Raw genomic sequence first — 27,963 nt, 5'->3', positions numbered from 1 at the left:
TTAAGCCCTTACTCCATACACACACACACACACACACACACACACACACGCGCGCGCGCGCGTGCGCGCACACACACACGCACACATGAGATCTCACCCAGTCTTAAAGTTTTGCTTTCTTTTCTGTTTTTTTTTTTTTGTTTTTTTTTTTTTGTTTGTTTTGGTTCTCCAGTTCATGGTTTTTAATTAGCAGAACTGTTGCCTTTGGGACTGGATAATTACTTGTTTTATTGAGCTAGGTATCCTTTGTCTTGTAGAATGTTTAGCAGAGTGCTGGGTCCCTACCCTCTAGACGCAAATAGTAACCACCGGTTGTGACAACCAAAAATGTTTCCAAATAACAACGAATGTCATCTGGTAGGAAAAATCACCCCCATTTGAAATCGCTTCACTAGCTTTTGGAAAAATATATAAAATATTTATACTAAGGCTTCCCAAATATACATGCCCAACCCAAAACTCTTGAATTGGAGAACCGTTTATTCGACTGACATGTCCAATTCCTCTGAACCAAAACTGACATCCTGACATCTCCCACAAAACAACTTACTCCACTCAGCATTCCCCACGTCAGCTGATGGCAGTTCCATTTTTCCAGATGTTCAAGCCCAAACCTAGTGTCCCCCACTTCTTTCAAACTTCACGTTTTATCCACCACCAAGCCTGACAGCACTGCCTTTGTGAACAGTCACTCCTCCTTGGAATCCAATTGCTCTTGATCACATCTAAAGACCCCGGCTTGGTTGAAGCCACCATCATGTCTCACCTGGACGAATGCAGTCACCCCTAACTGATCTGCCTAGTCCCATCTTTGCTCACACTGTCTCTGTTTAACAGAGCACACAAAGTCCTGTGGAAGTCCTGGCATGGTGGCTCACACCTGTAATTCCAGCACTTTGGGAGGCTGAGGTGGGAGGATCGCTTGAGACCAGGAGTTCAAGACCAGCCTGGGCAACATGGTAAGACCCCCGTCTCGATAACAAATACAAAGCTTAGCTGGGCATGGTGGTGTGTGCCTGTGGTCCCAGCTACTCAGGAGGCTGAGGCAGGAGGATCGTTTGAGCCCAAGGAGGCCAAGGCTGCAGTGAGCTATGGTTGCACCCCTGCACACCAGCCTGAGCAACAAAGCATGACCCTGTCTCAAAAAAAAAAAAAAAAAAGTTCGTATGACAAAGCTTGTCCCTCCTCTGCTCAGAACTCCCCATTTCTGTCACAAAAAAAGTCACAGAAAAGGCCCTGTGTGAATTTACTTCTTTCTTTACTTATTTATCATTTATCATATCTCCTCCCTAGAGGTAAACTCTGGGAACCTAGGGCTCAAACAGTGCCTGTCTCACGGCAGATTGCCCAAGAAATATTTGGTAAATTAATTTTTTTTTTAGACAGAATCTCACTCTGTCGCCCAGGCTGGAGTGCAGTGGCACAATCTCGGCTCACTGCAACCTCCACCTCCCAGGTTCAAGCGATTCTCCTGCCTCAGCCTACTGAGTAGCTGGGATTACAGGCACCCGCCATCAAACGTGGCTAATTTTTGTATTTTTTAGTAGAGACAGGGTTTCACCATGTTGGCCAGGCTGGTCTCAAACTCCTAACCTCAGGTGATCCACCTGTCTCAGCCTCCCAAAGTGCTGGGATTACAGGCATGAGCCACCGCACCCGGCCTGTTGAATTAATATTATTGTCTCTAGTGACCTAGATGGAAATAGTCTACAGGCAAATGCTACCTAAAAGGAAGATGATACCACTATTATACCACCACTATATATATAATGATGGCATATATAGTGCATATATATATATTATATATGTGGTATAATAGCAGTATCATTTTCCTTTAGTGTAGCATTTTATATGTATAAAATTGCTGACATTGTCATTGCCCACCTTTTTTTGTTTGTTTGTTTTTGGAACAGGGTCTTGCTCTGTTGCCCCAGCTGGAGTGCAGTGGTGTGATCATAGCTCACTGCAGCCTCAAACTCCTCAGCTCAAGTGATCCTCCTGCCTCAGCCTCCCAAGTAGCTGGGACTACAGATGTGCACCATCACACCTGGCTAATTTTTTATTTTTTGTAGAAATGGAGTCTCACTGTGTTGCCCTGGCTGGTCTCTAACTCCTGGTCTCAAGCAATCCTCCAGCCTCAGCCTCCCAAAGTGCTGGGATTACAGGTGTAAGCCATCACGCCTGGCCCCCATCTTTTATATTCCCATATCAGGGACTACTCTACCATCAAGTTCCCTCAGCCAAATACCTGAGCATCACCCTTACCACCTCCCTCCCCTCAGCCCCCACTGCTAGATAGTCACCCCAATCCTGGCCCTTCCTGTTGTCTGGACCTCAGCTTCCCTCTTTCCCAGGGTCCCAACCCCGCAAGTCACCTCCCTGCCAGCCCTAGATCTGGCCATGTCCTGTCCTGATCCCGCTCACACACTCTCCATGGCTCCCTATTGCCCTCAGCATAAAGCCTGTGCATTTGGCCCCTTCCTTCATTCTGCCCCCACTTCCCAGATCCAACCACCTGGCCCCTGGTGAGTTCCTCAAACACACTCTGTTCTCCCTCAGCTCAGGGTATTCTCAGATGTTGTTCCTTCTGCCTGGAATACTCTTCCCTCCCCTTGTCACCCACTCAACTTCCATTCCAGCATCGGAGAAGCTCTCCCTGACCCATCCCCATCCCTCTGCTATATTCATCCAGCACCCGGGGCCTCTCCTTTGGAGCACCTGTCCTGGGTTGTAAATAAACCTTTACACGTGGAATTATTTGTTCAACATCTGTCCCCCACCCCCTAAGAAGGCAGAAAACAGGGCCTGCCTGTGGTTCTGAAGCAGTGCCAGCAAACAATATGTGATCTGTTGATGAAATAAATGAACACACAAACTGACCCCCAAAATCTGAGTTTATGTCCTAGGATAAATGGCTTTCCAGCCTCCTAGCCCGCAGCTTCGCTCAGTTGCAGAGCCCCTCATTCCCATGCTGGGGGCTCCACGTGTAAGGATCTGGCTGAGCTAGGGGTGGAGGGTGGGGTAAGTCTGCATCCTTTGCTTTTATTCTGCAAAAACAGAACACTCAGCAAAGGATCTTTGGGCAAGGGAGGAAGGAAGGGGCTTACAAGGGTCTGAGTTTACAAAACAACAACAAAAGCAAGCAGCCTCGAACCCTACGATCCAGCCTCACGCCTGAGCAGTCTGCCCGTATGAGCTGAGGGCCTCAGGAGGGTGATGTCCGAGTTAAAAGCTCTGACGTCAGGCTCCAGCTTTCCTCAGTTTGGAAGCCTGCCAGGGGTTCAGCCAGTTGGGGGGGGGTGGGGTGTGGTGGGCCCTGAGTCATAGGTGGGTCTTAGGTCCTCTGAAGGCTCAGTGGGCAAGGCCTGGAGACCTGGATCTGCAGGGGCGTGGCCTGAGGACCTCAATCCGTAGGATCCTGGGGGCGGGGCCTGAGCCCAAGGGGGCAGGGTCGACCCTGGTCCCTCAAACAGGACAGGTGCGAGAAGTCAGGGGGCGGGACCTAAGCCTCAAGGGGCGGGATCAGGCCCCCTAAGGGGAGGAGCCTTGCCTTGAGGGGCGTGGCCAGTACCACCAGGCTGCTCAACAGCGGTGCCTGGTCATCCAGGAGCTGAACCTGAACTTCGAGGGGGGTGGCCTATGCCCTCGGGATCTTTGGGGCGAGTCCTGGTCCTTTGGGGGCGGGGCCTGGACCCTCGGGAGCCGCAGGGGCGCGCCCACGCTCAGGCCCGCGGAGGCAGCGGCTCCACCTTGAGCCAGAGCCCGTTCTCCGTGCGCAGTATGAGCTCCGGCTTCCGCCGCACCTTGCGCGTTCGGTCCACGCTCAGGCGGAAACGTAGCAGTGTTAGTGCCACAACCACGCGCAACTCGGCCATGGCGAAGCTCTGTCCGATGCAATTCCTGGAGGAAGAGGGGACAGGGCTCAGGCCCAGCTTCTGTGTGAGCACTGGTCCCCGGGGGTCACATGCCTCCTTTGAAAATGAAGCAAGCATCCTGGGCTGGCTGAGGGTTAAAGTGAAACCCCACGCTGGGTGAGGGTTAAAGTGAGACCCCACGGATCGCTCAATTAATGTGACCTTGGGGTTGAGTGTCTGAATCCCAGTACAGCCTCTTACTAGCTGTGTGTCCTGGATACACAGCGCCCCCTCTGAGTCTCAGTTCCTTCATCTGTAAAAACGGGGACAAAGGCATCATAGAGCCAATGGGAGCGTGGGAGCCCAGAACTCAGGGCCTGACACACCGTTGGTGCTCAATACCCAGGATGCTATTGCAGAGTCTGATTTGGGGGCCTCCTGGCGCATTGGGGAGAGGGTGCTGGGTCTTCAGAAAGGACGCCTGGGTGCCATCTGATCTCTGCTCCTGAGAGGCACATTCCTGATCTTTCCCTGCCTCTGTTCCTACACAGCTGGCTTGGACTAGGGGAAATAGAGGGGTTACCTGGGTCCTGCAGAGAAGGGCACATAGGCCAGTGGAGAGCGCTGCTGTGGGTTGTCCGGGTCAAAGCGGTAGGGGTTGTACACCTAGGGAGGAACAGCCTGGAGATGAGTCTGGGGGCTGCCCCAGACATCCCAGCCTGGCCCCCTTCCCTGAGCCTCTGGGGGTCAGTAAAGATGGATGGGGAGCACCCCAGGGCCACCTCTTCCATTCCACCTTGCACTTCCTGCAATGCAGCCACACCTGCCTCCTTCTGTTGTTCACACGCACCAGTGAGATTCCACCTCAGGGCCTTTGCACTTGCTGTTTCCTCTGCCTAGAACAGGCTTCTCCCTGATCCTTCATCCCCTAAGTTCTCAGCTCAAACATCTCCTCGGCAAGGCCTTTCATAACCACTCGAGCTAAAGTGCCCCCTCCACCTGTTTTTCTTTTTTTTTGTTTGTTTGTCTGTCTTTGTTTGTTTGTTTGTTTGTTAGAGTCAGAGTCTCACTCAGGCTGGAGTGCAGAAGCGCGATCATAGCTCATTGCAGGCTGGGCGCGGTGGCTCACGCTTGTAATCCCAGCACTTTGGGAGGCCAAGGCAGATGGATCATCTGAGCTCAGGAGTTCAAGACCAGCCTGGCCAACATGGTGAAACCCCATCTCTACTAAAAATACAAAAAAATTAGCCAGGCATGGTGGCACACACCTGTAATCCCAACTACTCAGAAAGCTGAGGCAGGAGAATCTCTTGAACCCAGGAGGTAGAAGTTGCAGTGAGCCAAGATCGCACCACTGCACACGCTCCAGCTTGGGCAACAGAGCAAGACCCAGTCTCAAATAAATAAATAAATAAATAACCATAGCTCATTGCAGCCTCAAACTGCTGGGCCCAAGCGATCCTCCTGCCTCAGCCTCCCGAGTGGCTGGCACTGCAGATGTGCATCACCATGGCTGGCTAACTTTTTTTTTTTTTAGAAATGGGGTCTCACTGTGTTGCCCAGGCTGGGCTGAGCTGGAACTTCTGGCCTCAAACAATCTTCCCATCTTGGTCTCCCAAAGCACTGGGATTACAGACACAAGCCACCACATTGGGCCAACTTTTTCCTTTTTGGTAGAGATGGGGGGTCTCGCTGTGTTGCCCAGGCTGGTCTCAAACTCCTGGGCCCAAGCGATTCTCCCACCTTAGCCTCTCAAAGTGCTGGGATTACAAGTGTGAGCCACTGCACCTGTAAACCGGAACTGGCCCAGTTTTTCTTTCTTTTGTGCATGTATCAATACCCAAAATCTTATTTATTTGCTTATTGTCTTCCCCAAAACTTCACTGTGAGCCCTGTAAAGGCAAAGACAGTATCATCCTCTATTTTCAGAGCCCAGCACACACTCTGGCACACAGTAGGTGCTCAATAAATATTTTCTGCCCTAATGAATTAACAATCAGTGGGTGAATAAATGGCTAAATGCGGAGTGGGGAGGGGTGTGCGCACTCAGGCCCTGCAACCAGCCCTGCTCGCTGGCTCCCTGGGGCGCAGGGGAGGGGAGGACCTGAGGGCAGGGAGGAGTGGGGCAGGCACTCACCTTGGAGTCAGGCCACACTGTGGGGTTGTGGTGGGTTCCATAGATGCTGACCAAGCAGATGATTCCTGTGGGGAAAGATGGGATCAGTGGGGCCAAGGGGAGCCAGGGCCTCCTCCAGAAACATCCCCCAACTTGGGTCTCCCTAGAGCCATGATGTTCCCATGAGCCATCTGCCACCACCTTCTGTCCATCCTTCTCTAAAAAATTCTGCTGCCCCATCCACTCTTCCCACCTTTCCCTAAGAGGAACCTATCATCTTCTTTCTGGCTGCCAAGCTGGCCACATAGGGATCTTTCTTACTCGCAGATCTGACATTGCTCCTCTTCAGCTCAAACACCTACCTTGGCTCCCTGCTGCCCCCAGGATTGAGTTCAAGCGCCATCACCTGGCACTCAAGGCCTTTCAAAATCTGCATCCTGAGGCTCTACTCCATAAACATGCTCACTCTTTCACTTCCACACTCCAAGCCTCACCTCCCACATTCCCTCCTCCAGGCAGCCCTCCCTGCATTCCTCTCCATATTGGAGCTACTCCAGCCCCTGTCTCTCCCTTTAGCCCATTCCTGATTCCATACGCCTGGGAATGTCTGCACCCTGCTGTATCTCCCCCAGAAAGGGCAATACTCAAAACCTGAGCCAGGGTCCCCTGTATCAACCAAGGCAGGGCTTGGTCTCCAGGGAGTAACTGGCAACTGAATGAAACTGACCCTCCCCAACTGCACCCTCACAGGCCCATCCCTGCGACACTGCCTCCTTCCTTTCCACCTGGACTCACCCGGCTCTATCTCCCTGCACACACAACTGGGTTTTCTCCAACACCCCAGAAGCAACAGGCACACAGAGAGCTATCCCATCTGCAGGGATAGTGCACCTGGGGCAGGCATAGCCAGGCCCCTGTGGACAATAGAGCAGCTACATCATTGGAGGCAGTGCACCAGCAGCAGGCGGAACATGGTAGGCACCTTTGGGGATGATGCGCCCATCTGGGAGCTTGATGTCCTCCGTGCATTGGCGAGAGACAAGAGTGACAGGTGGGTACTGGCGCAGGCTCTCCTTAATGCACATAGTTGTAAAGGGCAGCTGAGTCAGATCGTCCCTGGGGAGAATGGAGATATAACTAGAGGCCGAGCCACCATGGCACCACCTCCCCAAAACACACACACACACACACACACACACACACACACACACACACACACACTCTCTCCCTCTCTCTCTCTCTCTCTCTCTCTCTCAGGGGCAGCTGGGCAAGAAACCAGTCCAGGATTTTAGACTTGCCCCAATTTCTGCCATTTGCAGTTGTCTCATGCACAGGTGGGAAGTACTAATATTTAGTGGTTTTTTTGTTTTTTCTTTTCCTTTTTCTTTCTTTTTTTTTTTTAAGACCGAGTTTCGCTCTTGTTGCCCAGGCTAGAACATAGTGGCGCATCTCGGGTCACTGCAACCTCAGCCTTGCAGGTTCAAGCAATTTTCTTGCCTCAGCCTCCCAAGTAGCTGGGATTACAGGCATGCGCACCCACACCCGGCTAATTTTTGTATTTTTAGTAGAGACAGGGTTTCTCCATGTTGGCCAGGCTGGTCTCAAACGCCTGACCTCAGGCAATCCACCCACCTCGGCCTCCCAAAGTGCTGGGATTACAAACGTGAGCCACAGTGCCCGGCCAGTACTAATACTTAGGATGCAAAGTATCTGAGCACCAACCGCTCAGAACAGCACTAGCACTGGGCCCTCTGCTGGGCCCAGCATTAAGCCTTTAATTGATGAATTATGTGGAGGTCCAGGGGCACCTAGGCGAGGTGCCAGGACAGCCAAGGGGACTCACGGCAACAGCAATATGCCAGTTTATATGGTCCATTTCTGTACTTAAAAAACTGCTGCAGGACAGGTGTGGTGGCTCTCGCCTGTAATCCCAGCACTTGCAGAGGCTGAGATGGGCGATCGTCTGAGGTCAGGAGTTCAAGATCAGTCTGGCCAACATAGCAAAACCCCATCTTTACTAAAAAACACAAAAATTAGCTGGGTGTGGTGGCGTGCACCTGTAGTCTCAGCTACTTGGGAGGCCGAGGCAAGAGAATTGCTTGAACCCGGAAGGCGGAGGTTGCAGTGAGATGAGATTGCACCACTACACTCTAGCCTGGGTGACAGAGTGAGACTCTTGTCTTAAAAAAAAAAAAAAAAAAAAAACTGGTGCAGGCCAGGCATGGTGGCTCATACCTGTAATCCCAGCACTTTGGGAGGCCGAAGCAAGTGGATAACTTGAGCCCAGGAGTTCGTGACCAGCCTGGGCAACAAAGAGAGACCCCATCTCTACCAAAAGTTAAAAAATTAGCTGGGCATGATGGCACACACCTGTGGTCCCAGCTACTCAGGAGGCTGTAGTGAGCTATGATCATGCCACTGTACTCCAGCCTGGGCCACAGTGTGAGAGCCTATCTCAAAAAAAGAAAGAAAGAAAAAAAGAAAAAAGAAAGAAAAGAAAAGTGCATTATCTCCTTATAATATCATTTACTTAATATTTTTTCCCTTGGACTTTAGGGCCCAAAATTGGGCTAATGATAACTCTTGGTTCATGTTCTAGATTAGATTAGTTTCTTTAAATTAGCAGGTTCTCTTTCTTTTTTGATGGCGTCTTGCTGTTTCATCCAGGCAGGAGTGCAGTGGCACAATCTCAGCTCACTGCAACCTCTGCTTCCCAGGTTCAAGCAATTCTCACGCCTCAGCTTCTCAAGCAGCTGGGATTACAGGCACACACCAATACGCCCAGCTAATTTTTGTATTTTTAGTAGAGACAGGGTTTCACCATGTTGCCCAGGTTGGTCTTGAATTTCTGGCCTCAAGTGATCCACCCGCCTTAGCCTCCCAAAGTGCTGGGATTACAGGCATGAGCCACTGCACCTGGCCCAGGTTCTCTTTCAAAGAAACTTTATGGCTGGGCACAGTGGCTCACACCTATAATCCCAGCACTTTGGGAGGCCAAAGTAAGAGGACTGCTTGCACTCAGGGATTTGAGAGCAGCCTGGGCAACACAGCAAGTCCCCATCTCTTAAAAAAATGTTAAAAATTAGCCAGTTGTGGTGGCACACTCCTATAGTCCCACCTACTCAGGAGGCTGAGGCAGGAAGATTGCCTGAGCCCAGGAGTTTGAGGCTGCAGTGAGCTATGATTATGCCACTGCACTCCAGCCTGTGTCTTAAAAAAAAATAAACTTCATGTTGCTATAAAGGGCAAACAGCATCCCTGGCATAAAGGTATTCATCCATACAAACACCACTGTGAAAGCAGTAGTGTGTTATTAAATTGTGTCTACACACCAACTCCCACCCAACTCTCTCAACCTGAGACATCTTCTCCACTTGTTTAAAAGGAAGATTAGCAAAGTGTTCAGGACACAGTAGCACCCCACTGAGCATGTCCCCCTGAGGCCATAAGGCAAAAGGTTGAAATAGAACCGAAAGGAACCTCCTCACTGTGTGAGTTGATGCTATTTAATGTTGCGGCTGTGTTTTTCTTCTTTTCTTTTCTTTTCTTTTCTTTTTTTTTTTTTTTTTTTTTTTGAGACAGGGTCTCACTCTGTCACCCAGGCTGGAGTGCAGTGGCGTAATCTTGACTCACCACAGCCTCCACCTCCTGGGTTCAAGCAGTCCTCCCACCTCAGCCTCCCAAGTAGCTGGGACTATAGGCATGCGCCACCCCACCCAGCTAATTTTTGTATTTTTTTGTAGAGACAGGGTTTCGTCATGTTGCCCAGGCTGGTCTCAAACACCTCAGCTCAAGCAATCCACCCCCCTCGGCCTCCCAAAGTGCTGGAATTACAGGCATGAGCCACCACGCCCAGCCTAATGCTGTGTTTTCTTTTCATCACCCAGAATCAGCTCTACATAGCATGAATCTGGTAGAGACTGGGTATGTGTTCTGATTCTCCACTTCCTCCCTGAATTAGAATTATATACCTGTACCCTTTGTCATATGATTCTTCAGTGCCTTCTGCTCAGGTGAGTGGAGTATATGTCCTGCCCCATTCATGCTGGGCTTGGTCACGTGACTTGTTTTAGCCAATGCAATCTTCTAGTGCAAGCACAGCTTTTGTTTTTTTTTTTTATTTTATTTATTTACTTATTTTATCTTTTTTTGTGGGGGGGTGGGGACAGAGTTTCACTCTTGTAGCCCAGGCTGGAGTGCAGTGGTGCAATCTCAGCTCACTGCAAACTCCACCTCCCAGGTTCAAGTGATTCTCCTGTCTCAGCCTCCCGAGTAGGGGGGATTACAGGCACCCATGACCGTACCTGGCTAATTTTTGTATTTTTAGTAGAGATGGGGTTTCACCATGTTGGCCAGGTTGATCTCGAACTCCTGATCTCAGGTGATCCACCCACCTCGGCCTCCCAAAATGCTGGGATTACAGGCGTGAGCCACCCCACCCGGCCCAAGCAAAGCTTTTAAATTTCATGGCTTTTTGTGCTTCTGGAATCTGCCTTGAGAAGAATACGACCCAGGGTAGCCTCTGGTCCAAAGAGAACAGAAAGGGAGTATATGAAGCAGATCTGAACCCAGCTCTTAGTTTTGAAGCAACTCCACTCCACTCAGCCAAGTCCAACAGCAATTAGAGTAATGAGCAGACAAGAGCAAGAAATGTGTGCATACAAAAGCAAGAAACAAATGCTTGCTGTAAACCACTAAGTTTGGGAGCTGTTCATTATGCAGCATCATTGCAATAATTGCTGACTAGGACACTTTGAGAACTTCTGCATTATGAGGTGGGCATAGGCACTATAACCACCCCCATTTTGTAGCTGAAGAAATTGCAATTCAGGAAGCTAAAGTGGCTTGTCTGAGGTCACACAATCAGTAAGTGGGAGAGCAGAGGCTTACACCCAAGGCTCTGGCCTCAACCTGCCCCCTCCATTCCCCTGACCCCACACTCACCACTCCAGCTCCTCCAGCTCCCGGCCTTTCATGACTTCCTGAATCTCTTCTCGGCATTTCTCCTGGTATTCCGGATACTTTGCCAAATTGAACAGCATCCAAGAGATCCCACTGGATGTTGTGTCGTGACCTGCAGGGAGATGAGGGTATCTGAATGGAGGCTGCCTGAAGAAAGCAGAGATGCTGTCTACAGACAATGATGTCCCTTCCTGCCCTCCTCCAGCCTCACCCCACATCCTCACCCTCAAACATGAAGGTGTCTGCTTCGGCTCGGATATCCTCGTCTGACAGTTCCTTTCCATCTTCATCCTGGAATGGGCAGTAGAGGGTGCTCAGCCCACTTCATCCCACCCTCCGCATCCTAGGGGCTCCTCAAAACTCAGATATCTCCCCGCCCCCATCTTTTTTTTTTTTTTTTTTTCTGAGATGGAGTCTCGCTCTATCACCCAGGCTGGAGTGCGGTGGCACAATCTCGGCTAACTGCAGCCTCCGACTGTCAGGTTCAAGTGATTCTCGTGCCTCAGCCTCCTGAATAGCTGGGATTACAGGCACATGCCACCACTCCAAGCTAATTTTTGTATTTTTAGTAGAGATGCAATTTTGCCATATTGGCCAGGCCGGTCTCGAACTCGTGGCCTCAAGTGATCTACCTGCCTCATCCTCCCAAAGTGCTGGGATTACAGACATGAGCTACCACGCCTGGCTCCCCTCTCTCTCTTAAGCCAAGCTGTGGGGGGAACTAGTCCAGGAAGATGGAAGTATGCAACTTGTCTAATAAAGATGGAAAGTGCCCAGCATGGTGGCTCACACCTATAATCCCAACACTTTGGGCAGCTAAGGTGGGAGGATCACTTGAGCCTAGGCGTTCAAGACCAGCCTGGGCAACATGGTAAGACCCCATTTCTACAAAAAAAAAATCAGCCAGGTGTGGTGATGCATGCCTGTAGTCCCAGCTACTGGTGAAGCTGAGGCAGGAGGATTAAGCCCAGGAGATCAAGGCTGCAGTGAACCATGACCGCATCACTGCACCCCAGCCTGTGTGACAGAGCAAGACCCTGAGTGAGAGATGCTGGTGAGGCTGTGGAGAAATAGGAACGCTTTTACAAGGTTGATGGGAACGTAAATTAGTTCAACCATTGTGGAAGACAATGTGGCAATTCCTCAAAGACCTAGAACCAGAAATACCACTTGACCCAGCAATCCCATTACCGGGTATACAACCAAAGGAATATAAATTATTCTATTATAAAGATACACGCACACATATGTTCATTGCAGCACTATTGACAATAACAAAGACATGGAATCAACCCAAATGCCCATCAATGAAAGACTGGATAAAGAAAATGTGGTACATATATACCATGCAATATTATGCAGCCATAAAAAGGAACAAGATTATGTCCTTTGCAGGGACCTGAATGGAGCTGGAAGCCATCATCCTTAGCAACCTAAGGCAGGAACAGAAAACCAAACACCACATGTTCCCACTTATAAGTGGGAGCTGAACAATGAAAACACACGGACACAGGGGGGAAACAACACACACTTGGGGGGCCTATCAGGGTGGCAGGAGGAGGGAGAATATCAGGATAAATAGCAAATGCATGCAGGGCTTAATACCTAGGTGATGAGTTGATAGGTGCAGTAAACCACCATGGCACATGTTTACCTACGTAACAAACCTGCACGCCCTACACACGTATCCTTGAACTTTCCATTTAATTTAAAAAAAAATTTTTTGAGATGGAGTTTCTCTCTTGTTGCCAGATTGGAGTGCAGTGGCGCAATCTTGGCTCACTACAACCTCTGCCTCCAGGGTTCAAGCGATTCTCCTGCCTCAGCCTCCAGAGGAGCTGGGATTACAGATGCATGCCACCACGCCCGGCTAATATTTTTTTTTTATTTTTAGTAGAGACGGTGTTTCAATATGTTGGCCAGGCTCGTCTTGAACTCCTGACCTCAGGTGATCCTCCCACCTCAGCTTCCCAAAGTGCTGGGATTACAGGGGTGAGCCACTGCGCCCGGCTTATCCTGGAACTTTAAATTACATTTTTAAAAAACAAGAAAAAAGAAAAGAAAGATGTAAAGAGGGACAGAAAGTCAACAGTGAGGAGAAGAAGGAAGTTCATATTTCTTGAGCAGCCTCCAACACCAAGCATCCCACTGGATGCCTGACAACCTTGTGATCAGGTTTTATGATCACCATGGTATAAATGGAGAAACTGAGGCTTGGGAAGAAGAGTCAATGACTAAGGTCAAACATCCACTAAGCGACAGAGCCAGGACTGGAATCCAGGACTATTTGAATCCAGAACCCAAAAGGTCCACAGACACACCAATGAGTGACCATAGAAGTGTCTCATCTCTTCAAGGTCATGTATTTCTTTTTTTTCTTTTTTTTTTTTTTTTTTGAGACGGAGTTTCACTTGAGTGCAATGGCATGATCTCAGCTCACCGCAACCTCCGCCTCCCAGGTTCAAGTGATTCTTTTGCCTCAACCTCCCGAGTAGCTGGGATTACAGGTGTGTGCCACCACGCCCGGCTAATTTTGTATTTTTAGTAGAGATGGGGTTTCTCCATGTTGGTCAGGCTGGTCTCGAATTCCTGACCTCAAGTGATCCACCTGCCTTGGCCTCCCAGAGTGCTGGGATTACAGGTATGAGCCACCACGCCCAGCCCAAGGTCATGTATTTCATTTTTGCAATTGTGATGAGCTGAATGGTTCCCTGCCCACCCCCCCTCCGCTAGAATTCATAAGTCCTAACTTCCAGTACCTCAGGCTATGACCGTGTTTGGAGAGAGGTCTTTGCAGAAGTAATCAAGACAAAATGAACTCATTAGGGCAGGGCCCTAATCCTTATACAAAGAGACGAAGACAGAGACAGGCACAGAGGGAAGATGATCCGCAGACATAGGGAGAAGACAGCCTTCTGCAAGCCAGGGAGCAAGGCCTGGAACAGATTCATCCTTCATGGGCCTTAGAAGAAACCAGCCCTGCAGATACCTTGATCTTGGACTTCTAGCTTCCAGAACTGTGAGAGAATAAATGGCTGATGTTTAGGCCATTTAGTTTGTGGTACTTTGTAATAGCAGCCCAAGAAAACTCACGCAGTAAGTCTTACATGTTCTGACCCCATCCCAGACCCATGTGAATTTCTTTTTGTTTTGAGCATGTGTATTGTTTTGTTTTGTTTTGAGACAGAGTCTCGCTTCTGTTGCCCAGGCTGGAGTGCAGTGGCACCATCATAGCTCACTGCAGCTTCCAACTCCTGGGCTCAAGCCAGACTCCTGCTTCAGCCTCCCAAGTAGCTGGGACCATAGGCATGCGGCACCACACCCAACTTATTTGTTTTTTGTAGAGACAGGGTCTCCCTGTGTTGCCCAGGCTGATCTCCAATTCCAGGGCTCAAGCGATCCTCCCGCCTTGGCCTCCCAAAGCGCTGGGATTACACGTGTGAGCCACCACGCCTAATGGAGTTTTAACACTTATCATTTTACATGCAATTCCTCGGGAGGCCAGCCCTCGGGAGGCCAGCAATTCCAGGGGGCCCAGCCTCACCCTGGCCAGGAGCAGCACATCAATAAAGTCCAAGGTCTTCCCCTGCTTGGCCTTAAGCCAGGCCTCGGCCCCCTGCTGACGCAGTGCCCGCCGCCGTTCCTGGATGACTTCAGTGGTGAAGTGGTGCACCATGTCACAGGCCTGCCGGAACCTCCGCCCATCCGCCGAGCGGTAGTAAATGAAGTCGAGGTAGTGGTGCAAGCGATACTGGCGCCGGACAGACAGAGCGCTCAGTTCAATGATAGCGGAGATATAATCACTCATCTTCCTGCCAAGGAGAAGGGGATCCATGAGTGTAGCCCCTTCCCCTAGCATAGCACAGCCCTGGCTTGGCTAAGATAAGCCTCCTGTCCCCATTGAATAGATAACAAAGAGAAGCCCTATATTAACTCTATTTTTAAATTCATTTATTTATTTTTTTAGATAGGGTCTTGCTCTGTCACCTAGGCTGCAGTACAGTGGCACAATCATAGCTCACTGCAGCCTTGAACTCGTGAGCTCAAGTGATCCTCCAGCCTTGGCCTCCCAAAGTGCTGGGTTACAGGTCTGAGCCACCACACCCAGTCTCGGGTATATTTTTGAACAGGCCCAAAGAGGGATAAAGACTTTCAACATAGGCATAGTCATTGTAGCATCACTAAAACTAAATGGTTACACTCCTCAGCATGGGAGAAAATATTTGCAAATTGTCTATCTGATAAGGGATTGGTACCTAAAATAAATAAAGAATTCTTAAAACTTATTTTAAAATGGGCAATGGATATGAATAGGCATTTCTCCAAAGAAGACAGAAATTTCCAATGAGAATGTGAAAAGATACTTAACAGCACTGGTCACCAGAGAAATGCAAATCAAAACCACAATGAGATACTACTTCACCCCACTAAGGTGACTAAAATCAAAACTTATAATAACAAGTGTTGGGCTGCACTCCAGCCTGAGCAACAGAGCAATATCCTATCTCTAAAAAGCAAACAAAACAACAACAACAAAAAAAAGCAAGTGTTAGTGAGTATGTGGAAAAACTGGAGCTCTCATACATCACTGGTTGGGAGAGCAAAATGGTACAACCACTTCATACCATGTTGAAACCCACTGAAATAAAGTTTAGCAGTTCCTCAAAATGTTTAAAATGGAATTACCGTATGACCCAGCAATTCTGCTCCTAGGTATATAGCCAAAAGAATTAAAAATGTATGTTCACACAAAACTTTGTGCATGAATGTTAATAGCAGCATTATTCATAAAGGTCGAAAAGTGGAAACAGTGTCCATCGATGGGTGACTGGATAAACAAAATGTGGTATTATGTGGTAAATGGAACATTATTCATCAATGAAAAGAAATACATAACTGATACATGCCACAATATGGATGAGCCTTTAAAACATTATGCTGGGTGAAACAAGCCAGACACAAAAGTCTGTATGATTCCATCCGTGTGAAATATCCATAACAGGCAAATCTATAGAGATAGAAAATAGATTAGTGATTGCCTAGACTTGAAGGAGAAAGGGAAGTGCACGGGTTGCTAAAGTGTATGAAGTTTCTTGGGGTGGGGGAGGATTGATGAAAATATTCTAAAATTGATTATAGTAATGGTTGCACAACTCTGAATATACTAAAAGCAGTTCAGGTGTATTCTTTAAATGAGTAAATGGTATAGTATGTGAATTGTGTCTCAACAAAGCCATTATTTTTTAAAAACTAACAGGTGAAGCAGGCTTGAAGGGAGCTGTCCTCAGTCCTGAAGTGGGCTTGTTTTCATGCACTTATTGCAGTCTGTCGTTTTCTTGTTTGTTTACTTGTTCATGGTTATTACCTGTCTTCCTACTAAAATGGAAGCTCTAGAAAAGCAACATCTTGTCTTTCTTGTTGAATATGGTGTTCCCAGCACCTAGTTCAGGGTTGGCACTTACTAGGCACTCAGTAAATATTTCTTGGATGAATTAATTATTTAATTTCTAAGACAATCTCTGCCTTATCCAACTGGAACGTGCCCCTATAATGCCTAGAGTAACGAAGTCATTAGCTTGTTACTGAGGACCTACTATGTGTTGCAAGTTTTGCATTAATTATCTCCCTTATTCCTTATGTCCCCACTTAGACTATAAACTTCACAGAACTGTGACTGTCTGTTGTTCACCACCCTGTTCTCAGCAGCAATATCATGGTGCCAGGCACGTAGTAGGTGCACAATGAATATTTGATGAATGAATGAATTAATGAAGCAAGGCATTGGTTATTTGATTCATTTACTCAACAAATATTCTCTGAGCATCAACTATGTGCCAGGGCAGTGCTGCATCATTTTATCCTTAAAGCATCTCTCAGAAAGTAAGAGATTGTCATCCTTTTTTTACAAACAAGGAAACTGAGCCTCAGAAAGTGGGGAGGACACTGTCCAAAGACCACATACTCTTCCTAGTGGAATGAAAAAATACTAACATTTACTAAGCACCTACTTTATACCAAGCCATTGATTCACATTATCTCATTTAATTCTCACACAATGACTATGGGGAAGGAATTATGATGCCCATTTTTTTGATTAAAAAAAAAAGTGAAGCTCAGAGAGATGGTCAGTTTCCCGGAAGCACATGGCCCATCCGTGGCAGAGCTCCCATAGGCCAGAGTTGTCTAATGCCTGGGAGTTCCCTTTCTCCTGCCACCATCTTGCTCCTAGAGCAGCTGGCTCCATCTTCCCAAGAAGGGTCACACTCACTCTTGGCAGTTGCTGTTGTAGCTGAAGACACATTTCTGAAGACTGTCCAGGGTCATGAGGCTGATATGCTCAAACATATCAAGGGAGACCGCTGAGCCCTCTGCCAGATGCCGCCATTTAGCCTGGAAGAGAGATACATGGTGACTGTGCATGGAAACCACAGAGAGGGAGTCAGCCTAACAAGGACCCGACTGCGTTTTCACTACAAGCTCATTTTATAGATAAAGTCAGTGAGGGCTCCTGACATCACATGGCTTGCCCATGCATGAGTTGGAGCCTGGACCAGCCTCACTCCCAAGACACCCTCTTCCCTCAAAGCCTTAGGACTCACATGCATAATGTCAGCGCTCTGGTTGAAGATCTTCATGTAAGGCTTCAGGATGTCAAAGTGGAAGGCGGGTGTCAGCAGGCGACGGTGCCGGCTCCACTTGTCACCTTTGCTGAGCAGCAGCCCATCCCCTGGGCCCAGAAGACTGAGGTTAGGGACCTCTCCTGTTACTCTGAAACCTTCCAAGGAACCCCATGCTCTTCCCTCTCTTCTCTAAAGCCCCAGCCCCAGCCTACCCACTGGGCACTCACCTAGCCAAGGTTTTAGGAAGCCATAGAAGAGGTCATCCTTGGGGGCGATGGCAGCTGTGGAGGGCAAAGGGAAAATGGTGACTCAAAACAGAGTTTTTTGGTTTTTTGTTTTTTTTTACGGAGTCTTGCTCTGTCATCCAGGCTGGAGTGCAGTGGTGCGATCTCCACTCACTGCAACCTCCGCCTCCCAGGTTCAAGCAGTTTTCCTGCCTCTGCCTCCTGAGTAGCTGGGATTACAGGTGTCCGCCACCATGCCCGGCTAATTTGTTTGTATTTTTAGCAGAGACAGAGTTTCACCATGTTGGCCAGGCTGGTCTCGAACTCCTAACCTCAAGTGATCCACCCACCTCAGCCTCCCAAAGTGCTGGGATTACAAGCACGAGCCATCGTGCCTGGCCTCAAAACAGAGTTCCAACCCTTGACCTTTGCTTATGACTTCCTTAGTCCTCCTCACTGGGCTCCAACCTCCCACTGTATTCACCCAGTCCGTCCTCCACACCTACCCGAGAAAAAATCCTTATAAAACACTGATCTGAACATGAGCCTCCCCTGCTCAGACACCTCCCATGGCTCCCCATTGCACTTGTAAAAAGTTCAGGCTCAGCCTGGCATTGAAACCCAATTCCATCTGGCCCCTGTATGCCTCTCCCACCACCTCATCCTTCAACATACACCAGATAACCCTATTCTCATCGCCTGCTGTGGATCACCTCTGAACCTTTGACCAGGTTGAGCTGTCTATCCAGAATGGACTTCTTCACCTGAGTCTTCCCCTAATCCACCCCCTTATTTTCTGCCAGCTCAGGCCATCTGAATCACACCTCCTGTGCTCCCAGCCTCCAGCCTCACCCTCTCCAGTGTGTCCCTCATGAATGGCCCCAGGAGAATCTCATCTGACTATCAGATCTGACCACGCCCCTTCCTGCTCACACACCCATCACCCTCACATACCAGCCCATTTTCAAAGCCCTGAATCATTTGCCTTTGTCCAAATCTCTCTCAAGACACCTCTGTCTTCCACCCCCTATTCGACGTCACAGAACTAACACCACATAACTTTTTGTTTTTTGTTTTTTTGAGATGGGGTCTCACTCTGTCACCCAGGCTGGGGTGTGTGGTGAGATCATAGCTCACTGCTGCCTCCAATTCCTGGATTCAAGCGATCCTCCCACCTCAGCCTCCCGAGTAGCTGGGACTACAGGCATACGCCACCATGCCTGGCTAATTTTTTAATTTTGTGTATGGACAGGGTATCGCCATATTGCCCAGGCTGGTCTTGAACTCCTGAGCTCAAGTGATCCTCCAAGTTCAGCCTCCCAAAGTGCTGGGACTACAGGCATAAGCCACCATGCCCGGCCACACCACAGAACTTTTCTCAGCTCCTTAAAAAGACCACGTGCTCTCTCTTCTCTGAGACTTTCCACCAGCTGTTCTCTCTGCCCCAAACACTCTTCCCTCATCCTGTATGAGAACTTGAATGCTTCTCCCCACCCCTGACCCAGCAGTCACTCTGGATTGTATCCACTTAGTTACAAGCCCCTTAACAGGAGGGTTCGTGTTGATTACTGATATGTTGTGCTAGATAAATTTTTATTAAATGAATAAATAAGTCAATCCAAGGATGGATGAATGAAAGAATAAATGGGTGGATGGATGAGTAGAGGGACAGATGAGTACATGGATGGATAAATAAGTGGATGGATGAATAGCAGATGGATAGATGGTGGGTGGGTGGATGGATGGATGGATGAATGGATGGATGGGTGGATGGTGGATGGATGGATGAGTGGATGGATGGATGAATGAGTGGATAGGTGGAAGGTGGATGGATGAATGAATGAATGAGTGGATGGATGAATGGATGGATCCTCCTTCTATATACTGAACAGATTTGGGGCTGAATGGGCAGAGGCCCAGGAAGGAAGTATCTGAAATTCGAGTGATATCACTTTTACCTGAATGCGACTCAGCCACCTACACCGACACAATCCCTAGGAATTGGCCAATTGCCTACACAATCATCCGCCCACTCATCCCCCCATTCATCACACCTCTTATGCTGCCTTTCTGTGCCCAACCCAAGCTGGGTGATGCTGGGGACCCACAGATGGCTCAGCTCTATGCCCTCCCTGGAGGAGCTCCTGAGTGGGGCAGGAAAGGGAAGCAGAGACACACCATGCAATTACCAAGAAGGTAGAAAGTGTGCTAGGTGCTAAGGAAGGCTCAGAAAAAGGGCTGTTGGAAGTCAGGGCAGGCTTCCTGGAGGAGGCAGCATTGAAGAGGAAAGCAGGAGTCTAGTCACTCCTCTCCTCTCTGCACTCTGGACTCCAAGATAGGCTCCACAGGGATCTTTCTGACACCAGGATCTGGTCAATAGCTGTCTTGTTCAAATACTTCCCGTGGCTCCCTATCACTCCCAGGATAAAGTACAAGTTCATTCACTTTGCTGTCCAGTTCCTGCTTAACTGTCAGTCTCATTTCCTATTCCCCCCAACATATCACCTTCACTCCAGCCACCCTAAATCACCTGAATTCCCCTGGAATTTTCACACATCTGCATCAAGGCACTGGCAGGACCTTCCATCTGGGACTCCTTCTCTGGCAAGCTCCTAGGCATCCTTCGGGGCCCAGCTTCACTGACACCTACTCCAGGAAGCCTTCTCCAAACCCCCTTCTCAGCTGAACCATTGTTCTCTCATCCTCAGGTTCCTTTTCCACTCCAACTCTGACCACAATGCCAGGAAAGTCTGTGTCCACGCTCCTCACCAGTTTTCCCCTCCAGCAAAAAGGAGATGGTAGGCCAGGTGCAATGATTCACACCTGCAGTCCTAGCACTTTGGGAGGCAGAGGCAGGAGGATCACTTGAGCCCAGAAGTTCAAGACCAGCCTGGGCAACACAGCAAGACTCTGTCTCTACAAAAATGTTTTTTAAAAAGAAAAAAAAAAAGAGGGAGAGATGGTAATGCCTACCATGGATGAGACGGTGTACGAAATACCCCCACATGGTGCCAGCATGGAGAAACTCATGCTCAGAAAGCTGCATATCACTATGTTTGAGAGCTTGGGTTCTGGGCCAGCCAGGTCTGAGTTCAAATCCCAGCCCTGCCACTAACTAGATATGTAAGCCTGGACATGTTACCACTGCCAAAGGAGAAAATAGAACAATCTTGCCTCATGGCATCCCTATAAGACTCAACAAGCTCTTGTGTTCCTGGCACATGGTAGATGCTCATTAAATACGTGCGTAGGTAAATGAATAATTGACCAACTGTTGGCTATTTTTATTACTATGGTTAAAATGATTATTTATTGGCATCAAGAACTTGTGAGATAAATAGTTGTGTTTCCTGTTAGTAGAAAATTAATGCACACCCTCTGTGGAAAACAGCAAGGTGGCTCCTTAAAAAGTTAAGTACAGAATTCCATATGACTTGGCAATTCTACTCCTAGGTATCTACCCAAGAGAGAAATGAAAACATATGTCCACCCCAAAACTTGAACACATATGTTCATAGTAGCATGATTCACAACATCCAAAAGGTGAATGGGTAAACAAAAAAAAATCCATACAGTGAAATGAATTCAGCCCTAATGACCAACCTGGACAACATAGCAAGACCCCATCTCTACAAAAATAAAAATAAAAATTAGCTGGGCATGGTGGTGCGTGCCTGCAGTTCCAGCTACTCGGGAGGCTGAGGCAGGAGGAGAATCACTCGAGCCCAGGATTTCAAGGCTGTAATGAGTTATGGCTACACCACTGCACTCCAGCCTCTGGGTGACAGGGTAAGACCCTGTCTCAAAAAAAAAAAAAAAAAAAAAAGAATGAAACTGATTCCTACTACAACGTGAATGAACTTCAAAAACATTATGCTGAGTAAAAGAAAACAGACACAAAAAGATCACATTTTATGTGGTTCTCTTTCTATGATGTACCCAGAATAGGCAAATACATAGAGACAGAAAGCAGATTCGAGGTTACCAGCGGATGGGAGGAGGAGGGAAATGGGAAGTGATTACTCAATGGGTACAGAGTTTTTTTATGAGGTGACTAAAAATTTTGAAACTGGAAAATGCTGGTGGTTGCCCAACATGGTGAATACACTAAATACCACTGATTGTTCACTTGTAAATGGTTAATTATATGTTACATGAATTTCACCTCCATTTTAAAAAGATGATATAAAAGCAAGCTACAATTATATGTCTATATATCATCATGTTCTCTATAAAGCATGTTTATCTACTTTCTCTCATTAAAATTTCCTAGTCCAAAGGCCCATAAGATGATGGGGAAACTGAAGCTCCAACAGGAGCTGGGCCCTCCTCCAGGCTCAAGGGCTGTGCAGCTCCAAGCTCAGAACAGCAAGCCACTCCCAGGTGTGGCCCCAGGAGGTCCTGATCCAGGGTGGTGTCTGTGACTGGAGCCTGATCTGTGTAATTCCAGGTGGGGGCACCCTGGGGCCAAGAGGCCTCACTCCAGGCTGACTCACAGCACCACCCTTTTTTCCATCCTGGAGTTCCCTATCTGGCTTCTCTGATGGGGTACACAGAATATCCCCTCCCTCCACTGGATGAGGGGAGGGCAAGAGGCTTAAGCATCTACTACATGACAGCCCCTGCTGGGGCACTACTCCTCGGTCTGTTTGGAGTCTCAGAACCAGGCAGGATGGTGCTCAGGAAACTGATGCTCTGAGGGGGAGGAGAAGGGAGGAGGAAGGAGAAAAAAGAGAGACCAGGCGCTGTAGCTCACGCCTGTAATCCCAGCACTTTGAGAGGCCAAGGCAGGAGAATCACTTAAGGTCAGGAGTTCAAGACCAGCCTGGCCAATATGGTGCAGCCCCGTCTCTACTGAAAAAAAAAAATACAAAAATTAGCCAGGTGTGGTGGTGCACACTTGTAGTCTCAGCTACTCGGGAGGCTGAGACAGGAGAATCACTTGAACTCGGGAGGCAGAGGTTGCAGTGAGCTGAGATCATGCCACTGCACTCCAGCCTGGGTGACAGAGTGAGACTCTGTCTAAAAAGAAGAGGAAGAAAAAGAAGAAGGTGGAGGAGGAGGAGGGGGATGGGGAGGAGAAGAAGGAGAAGGAGGAGAAGGAGAAGAAGAAAGAAGTAGAAGGAGGAGGAGAGAAAGAAGAAGAGAAGGGAGGAGGGGGAAAGAGGAGTAGAGAGAGAAGTAGAAGGAGGAGGAGAAGAGGGAGGAAGAAGAAAGGAAAGGAGGAAAAGAGAAAGAAAAACATATATTAAAAAGGCAGAAGAGAAACCCTTACTAATGCCTATCCATATTATTTTTTTTTTAATTTTTTTAGAGACAGAATCTCACTCTGTTGCCCATGCTGGATGCAATGGCACAATCATAGCTCTCTGCAGCCTCAACCTCTTGGACTCAAGCAATCCTCCTACCTCAGCCTCCTAAGTAGCTGGGACTATAGGCACGCACCACCACACCTGGCTAATTTTTTAAATTTTTTGTAAAGATAGAGTCTTGCTCTGTTGCCCAGGCTGGTCTTGAACTCCTGGGCTCAAGTGATCCTCCTGCCGTGGCCTCCCAAAGTGCTGAGACTGCAGGCATGAGTCACTGCACGTGGCCTCTTATCCACATTATATTATTCAGGCTTCACAACTGCACCCATTTTACAGATCAAAACCTGAGATCCAGAGAGGCTAGATAAATGGCTGGGGTCTCACAGCAAGCATGTGCCAAGGCCAGAATTTGAAGCCAACCCACCTCAGTCCTGGCCCAGGGCTCTTCCCACAAGTTGGTATTCATCCCTCAGAAGAGTCAATTCTCCCTCCCAAGGTCTAGGTTTTCCCCTTAGTTCAACAGGGATCGTCATCCCTTCACAAATGTAATAACGGGAGACAACAAGGCATTGAGAGGGAATAGCTGTGGAAGGGGAAGATGGCAGCTTCTTTCACAGCTCCTGGGTGGCAGCCCTGGAGATGGTCCCCAGATGCGTGTTTGTAGAGGCAAAGCTGGGACAGAGATCCTAAAATTCCTGGAATCTCCCACTTTTTTTTTTTTTTTAAGAGACTAAGCCTTGCTCTGTCACCCAGGCTGGAGTACAGCAGTGGTGCAATCATAGCTCACTGCAGCCTCCATCTGCTGGGCTCAAGCAATCCTCTCACCTCAGCCTCCTGAGTAGCTGGGACTGCAGGCATGCACCACAACACCCAGCTAATATTTTTAAATGCTTTTGTACAGATGGGGTCTTGCTAGATTACCCAGGCTGGTCTTAAACTCCTGAGCTCAAGTGATCCTCCCATCTCAGCCACCCAAGTAGCCGAGACTACAGGTGCACATCACTGCCACTGGGTAATTATTTATTTTTTTCGAGAGACAGGGTCTTGCTGTGTTGCCCAGGCTAGTCTCAAACTCCTGGCCTCAAGCAACCCTCCTGCCTCAGCTTCCCAAAGTGTTGGGATTACAGATGTGAACCACCATGCCTGACCTACTGGAGCTCATTGGTTCATTTGAGAGTGAGTTCTCTCAGATGTCCCGATACCTCTGGAGGTGCCCAGGTAATATGGTTTGGCTGTGTCCCATCTAAATTTCATTTTGAATTATAATTCCGATAATCCCTATGTGTCATGCGAGGGATCCGGTGGGGGGTAATTGAATCATGGGGGCGGTTACCCCCATGTTGCTGTTCCCATGATAGTGAATGAGTTCTCACGAGATTTAACGAATTTCCCCCTTTTACTTGGCACTTCTCCTTCCTGCTGCCATGTGAAGAAGGACGTGTTTGCTTCCCCTTCCGCCATGATTGTAAGTTTTCTGAGGCCTCCCCAGCCCTGCGGAACTGTGAGTCAATTAAACCTCTTTCCTTTATAAATTACCCAGTCTAGGGTAGTCCTTCATAGCAGCGTGAGAACTGACTAATACACCAGGTACACAAGGCCACACTGAGGATCCAGAGTCCCGCTCATGAGGAAGATAGAGCTGGACACAGACATACCCAGGTCCAAAGGGTTAGGACTGAGAATAGGTCTGTCTGGGAAGCCAGGGAAAGATTCCTGGAGGAGGCGGCCATTGGAGCTGGGTGTTGAAGGCTGAGCAAGAGCTTGCCAAGCAGACTTGGAAGTCTCACATCTTGGGATAGGTGTGGACTGCACGAGGAAGAAGGAATTCTTCCACATCTCCCTCCCTGCCAGTCAGAGTCAGCCCAAGTGATGACAGCAGGCTGCAGGCTGAGTCACCAAGAGTCCTGGCCATAATGGGAATGTCAGAACCAAATGATGGGCGTGCCACGGCCAGGGATTGAGTAACACTTACTTAACAAAACCATAAGGAACAACTGCCTATCCAAACGTGCCTGGCTCTGACTGCCAGATGGATGGACATTCCCTCGAAGTTTCTGGAACTCTTAGTCATTGCCACATCTTTGCCCATACTGTTCTCACAATCTGGATTGCCATGCTTGCTTTGCCAAACTCTTATTCATCCTTCAAAGCCCTATTCAAATGACCCTTCCTCTGGATATCCCACCTGCCTAGAATCTCAGATAGGCTCTGGGAGTTGAGGACTCAACCATAGATCGGAGGCCCAGCCCACGTACCTGAGGCTCCCAAAAGGGGTTTGATGTAATCAGGGTGCACCAGAACCAACAGCGGCAGGACAGGTCCCATCCATACCAAGAGTACATGGTGCATGTTGTCCAGTACCTTCTTCTCATCTTGAAGGCCCGCCTCATTTGGAAGGTACTGCAAGAGGTAAGGGAGGAGCAATGAGGAGGTACCCAGCCCCAGCTTCCCCCACTGCCTTCCTCCTGCCACCTCCTGTAGTCTCAAAACAAGCCCAATAGTGCTACATTATGATTTCAGGCAGTTGGCTGCACCTCCCTGGGCCTCCATTTCCTCATCTGAAAAAATGGAGGAGAATCAACTCTCCCTCTGAGGGCAGTAGAAAGGATTCATGAAATAACAAAGCAAGAGCCCCAGCATGGGCCTGACCCATGGCTGATGTTCAATAGCTAAAAATAGTAGCCAAGTGTAGTGGCTCACATCTGTAATCCCAGCACTTCAGGAGGCCAAGGCAAGCAGATCACCTGAGGTCAGGAGTTCGAGACCAGGCTGGACAACATGGTGAAAGGCCATCTCTACTAAAAATACAAAAATTAGCTGGGCTTGGTGGTGGGCGCCTGTAATCCCAGCTACTCAGGAGACTGAGACAGGAGAATCGCTTGAACCCAGGAGGCAGAGGTTGCAGTGAGCCGAGATCATGCCATTGCACTCCAGCCTGGACGACAAGAGCAAAACTCCACCTCAAAAAAAAAAAATAAAATAAAATAAGAAGATAAAATTAGCCAGGCTTGGTGGGACATGCCTGTAGTCACAGCTACTCATGAGGCTGAGGCAGGAGGACCACCTGAGCTTGGGATGTCAAGGCTGCAGTGAGCTATGATCACCCCACTGCACTCCAACCTGGGTGACAGAGCAAGACCCTGTCTCTTAAAAAATAAAAATAAAAATAGTAATGATAAACACAATAATGATCATGGTTGGCATTTATCAAGTACTTGCTATGTGAGTAATAAGATATTACTACTGTTGCTATCTTTACCACATACAGGTGCCTGCACTGTGTTGGTCACTGTGGTGGAGACTTTTCATGTACTGGCATATTTGATCAGTACAAGAACCCTATGAGACCGTTGCTATTATTTTCCTCATTTTATTTTGTTCAGCAAGGTCGAATGGTTTTTCTGAAGTTGCAAGTTAAGTAGGTGACTGTTCTGGTTGAGGCTCCCCCAGAAGGAAGTCCTGAGACAAGGGTTCTAGGGCAGGTAGTTTATTTGGGGCATGATCCCCAAAAACATGGGTCATGAGATAGGGGAAGAAGACCACCAGTAAAGGATGAGTTGTCAAGGAAATTACCACCAAGGGCAACCAGGGCTCGGTCCCACTGGGGAGCTTTGGAGGGCAGAGTAGCGCATTGCACCTCAGAGTCACTCCACCTGAGGGCAAGGGAGCTGAGGTATTTATACACCAATGCCCATCAGTCATTGGTTGAGGGTCACTCCTGGGGGCGTTAATTCCCAAGCTCACAGAAGCGACAGTGGCAGGACAGGCACTGGGACTCTAGGTATGCACCACCAAGCCTGGCTAATTTTTAATTTTTTTGTAAAAACTGGGTCTTGCTATGTTGCCCAAGCTGGTCTCAAACTCCCGGGCTCAAGCAATTCTCCTGCCTTGGCCTCCCAACGTGCTGGGATTGCAGGTGTGAGCCACTGTGCCCAGCCTTTATTTCACTTGCAGAGTGGGCTCCAGCCACCAGAGACAGCCCCTAGAATGCAGGAGCTGGCAGCTGGACGTCAGGCCACTGCATCCAAAAATGGGTTGAGAGGAATATGGGCAAGCTTTGGCATCATCTGCAAAGCTAGTACCTGAACCCAGGCCACCTAGCTACAAAACTGCACTTCCTCACCTGCTGTATGAGGCAGGAAAGCTTCAGGCTCAACGTCAGAAAAATCCAAGTTCAAACCCACCCTCAGCGGCTGTGTGACTTTGAGCAAGCCACTTAACCTCTCTGTGCTCAAATCCATAAAAGTGTGAATCCATGAAATAGGACAGATCCATCCCCACTTCACAGGCTATGAGAATTAGAGAAGAGCTCAGCTACAAAGGAGCCTAACCCAGTGCCTAGCCAGTGATAAGGCTCAGCAATTGCCAAATGATTCAACCAACAAATGACTCCTTTCCAGCTCCTGTGTCTCCTTCCCCGTCAGGCTCAGCCTTGATCATGTCCACACCCAGGGCTCAATTGCAGCCTCACCCAGCCCCCGTGGGCCCAGGAGCTGGGCAGGACAACGTCAAGGCTGGGCTTTAGAGCTGACCCTGGCCAACTCCTCCAGGCACTAGAGCCTGGCCACTCCCTCTAGGACAACCATCAAACCCAGAGAGGGCTTTCTAGAGTAAGGGCACTGGAGATGGGGCATGAAAAATGAGCAGAAGTTGATCTAGCAGAGAAGGATACCTGGACAGAGAGTACAGTTTTGGGAAAGGCCTTGGAGGTGGGAGCCTTGTTACAGGAGTGGGAAGTGATTCTATGGAGCTAGGGAGGGATGGTGGAACAAGTGAGGAGGATGGAGGTTGGAGCCAAAAGGGCCTTGAACACCAGCCTTTTTCTGAATGGCAATAGGGAGCCATGGAGGGTGTGTAAGCAGGGGCAGGGATGTGGTT

At 48.7% G+C, this 27,963-nt stretch overlaps 1 protein-coding gene across 3 annotated transcripts in view, besides 2 other annotated features; it reads right to left on the bottom strand.

Annotated features, from left to right (window-relative positions):
- The window catches only part of CYP4F22 (cytochrome P450 family 4 subfamily F member 22), a 43,793-nt gene continuing 18,706 nt past the window's right edge, over positions 2,877-27,963 (bottom strand). For all 3 annotated transcript variants that reach the window (XM_011527692.3, NM_173483.4, XM_011527693.3), the window contains 11 exons: positions 25,341-25,485; positions 17,780-17,833; positions 17,532-17,659; positions 17,201-17,322; positions 14,477-14,744; positions 11,157-11,223; positions 10,915-11,044; positions 6,953-7,086; positions 5,992-6,056; positions 4,438-4,520; positions 2,877-3,900 (listed from right to left, as the gene is read on the bottom strand). In XM_011527692.3, coding sequence (XP_011525994.1) covers positions 3,723-3,900; positions 4,438-4,520; positions 5,992-6,056; positions 6,953-7,086; positions 10,915-11,044; positions 11,157-11,223; positions 14,477-14,744; positions 17,201-17,322; positions 17,532-17,659; positions 17,780-17,833; positions 25,341-25,485 — 1,374 coding nt within the window. In that variant the 3' untranslated portion in view covers positions 2,877-3,722. The remainder of the gene's footprint in view (positions 3,901-4,437; positions 4,521-5,991; positions 6,057-6,952; positions 7,087-10,914; positions 11,045-11,156; positions 11,224-14,476; positions 14,745-17,200; positions 17,323-17,531; positions 17,660-17,779; positions 17,834-25,340; positions 25,486-27,963) is intronic.
- Positions 3,579-3,628: a silencer, noted in NCBI's record as "silent region_10283". NCBI's record gives its function as "represses an Ori minimal core promoter by ATAC-STARR-seq in GM12878 lymphoblastoid cells {active_cell/tissue: GM12878}" and the evidence as "EXISTENCE:reporter gene assay evidence [ECO:0000049][PMID:35858748]".
- Positions 16,089-16,289: a silencer, noted in NCBI's record as "peak3387 fragment used in MPRA reporter construct". NCBI's record gives its function as "represses an SCP1 promoter by STARR-seq MPRAs in K562 erythroleukemia cells {active_cell/tissue: K562}" and the evidence as "EXISTENCE:reporter gene assay evidence [ECO:0000049][PMID:32103011]".

This window comes from Homo sapiens, chromosome 19 (genome assembly GCF_000001405.40).
Source record: "Homo sapiens chromosome 19, GRCh38.p14 Primary Assembly".
In the NCBI taxonomy this organism is placed as follows: domain Eukaryota; kingdom Metazoa; phylum Chordata; class Mammalia; order Primates; family Hominidae; genus Homo; species Homo sapiens.
This window is presented reverse-complemented; position numbering and strand designations above follow the sequence as displayed.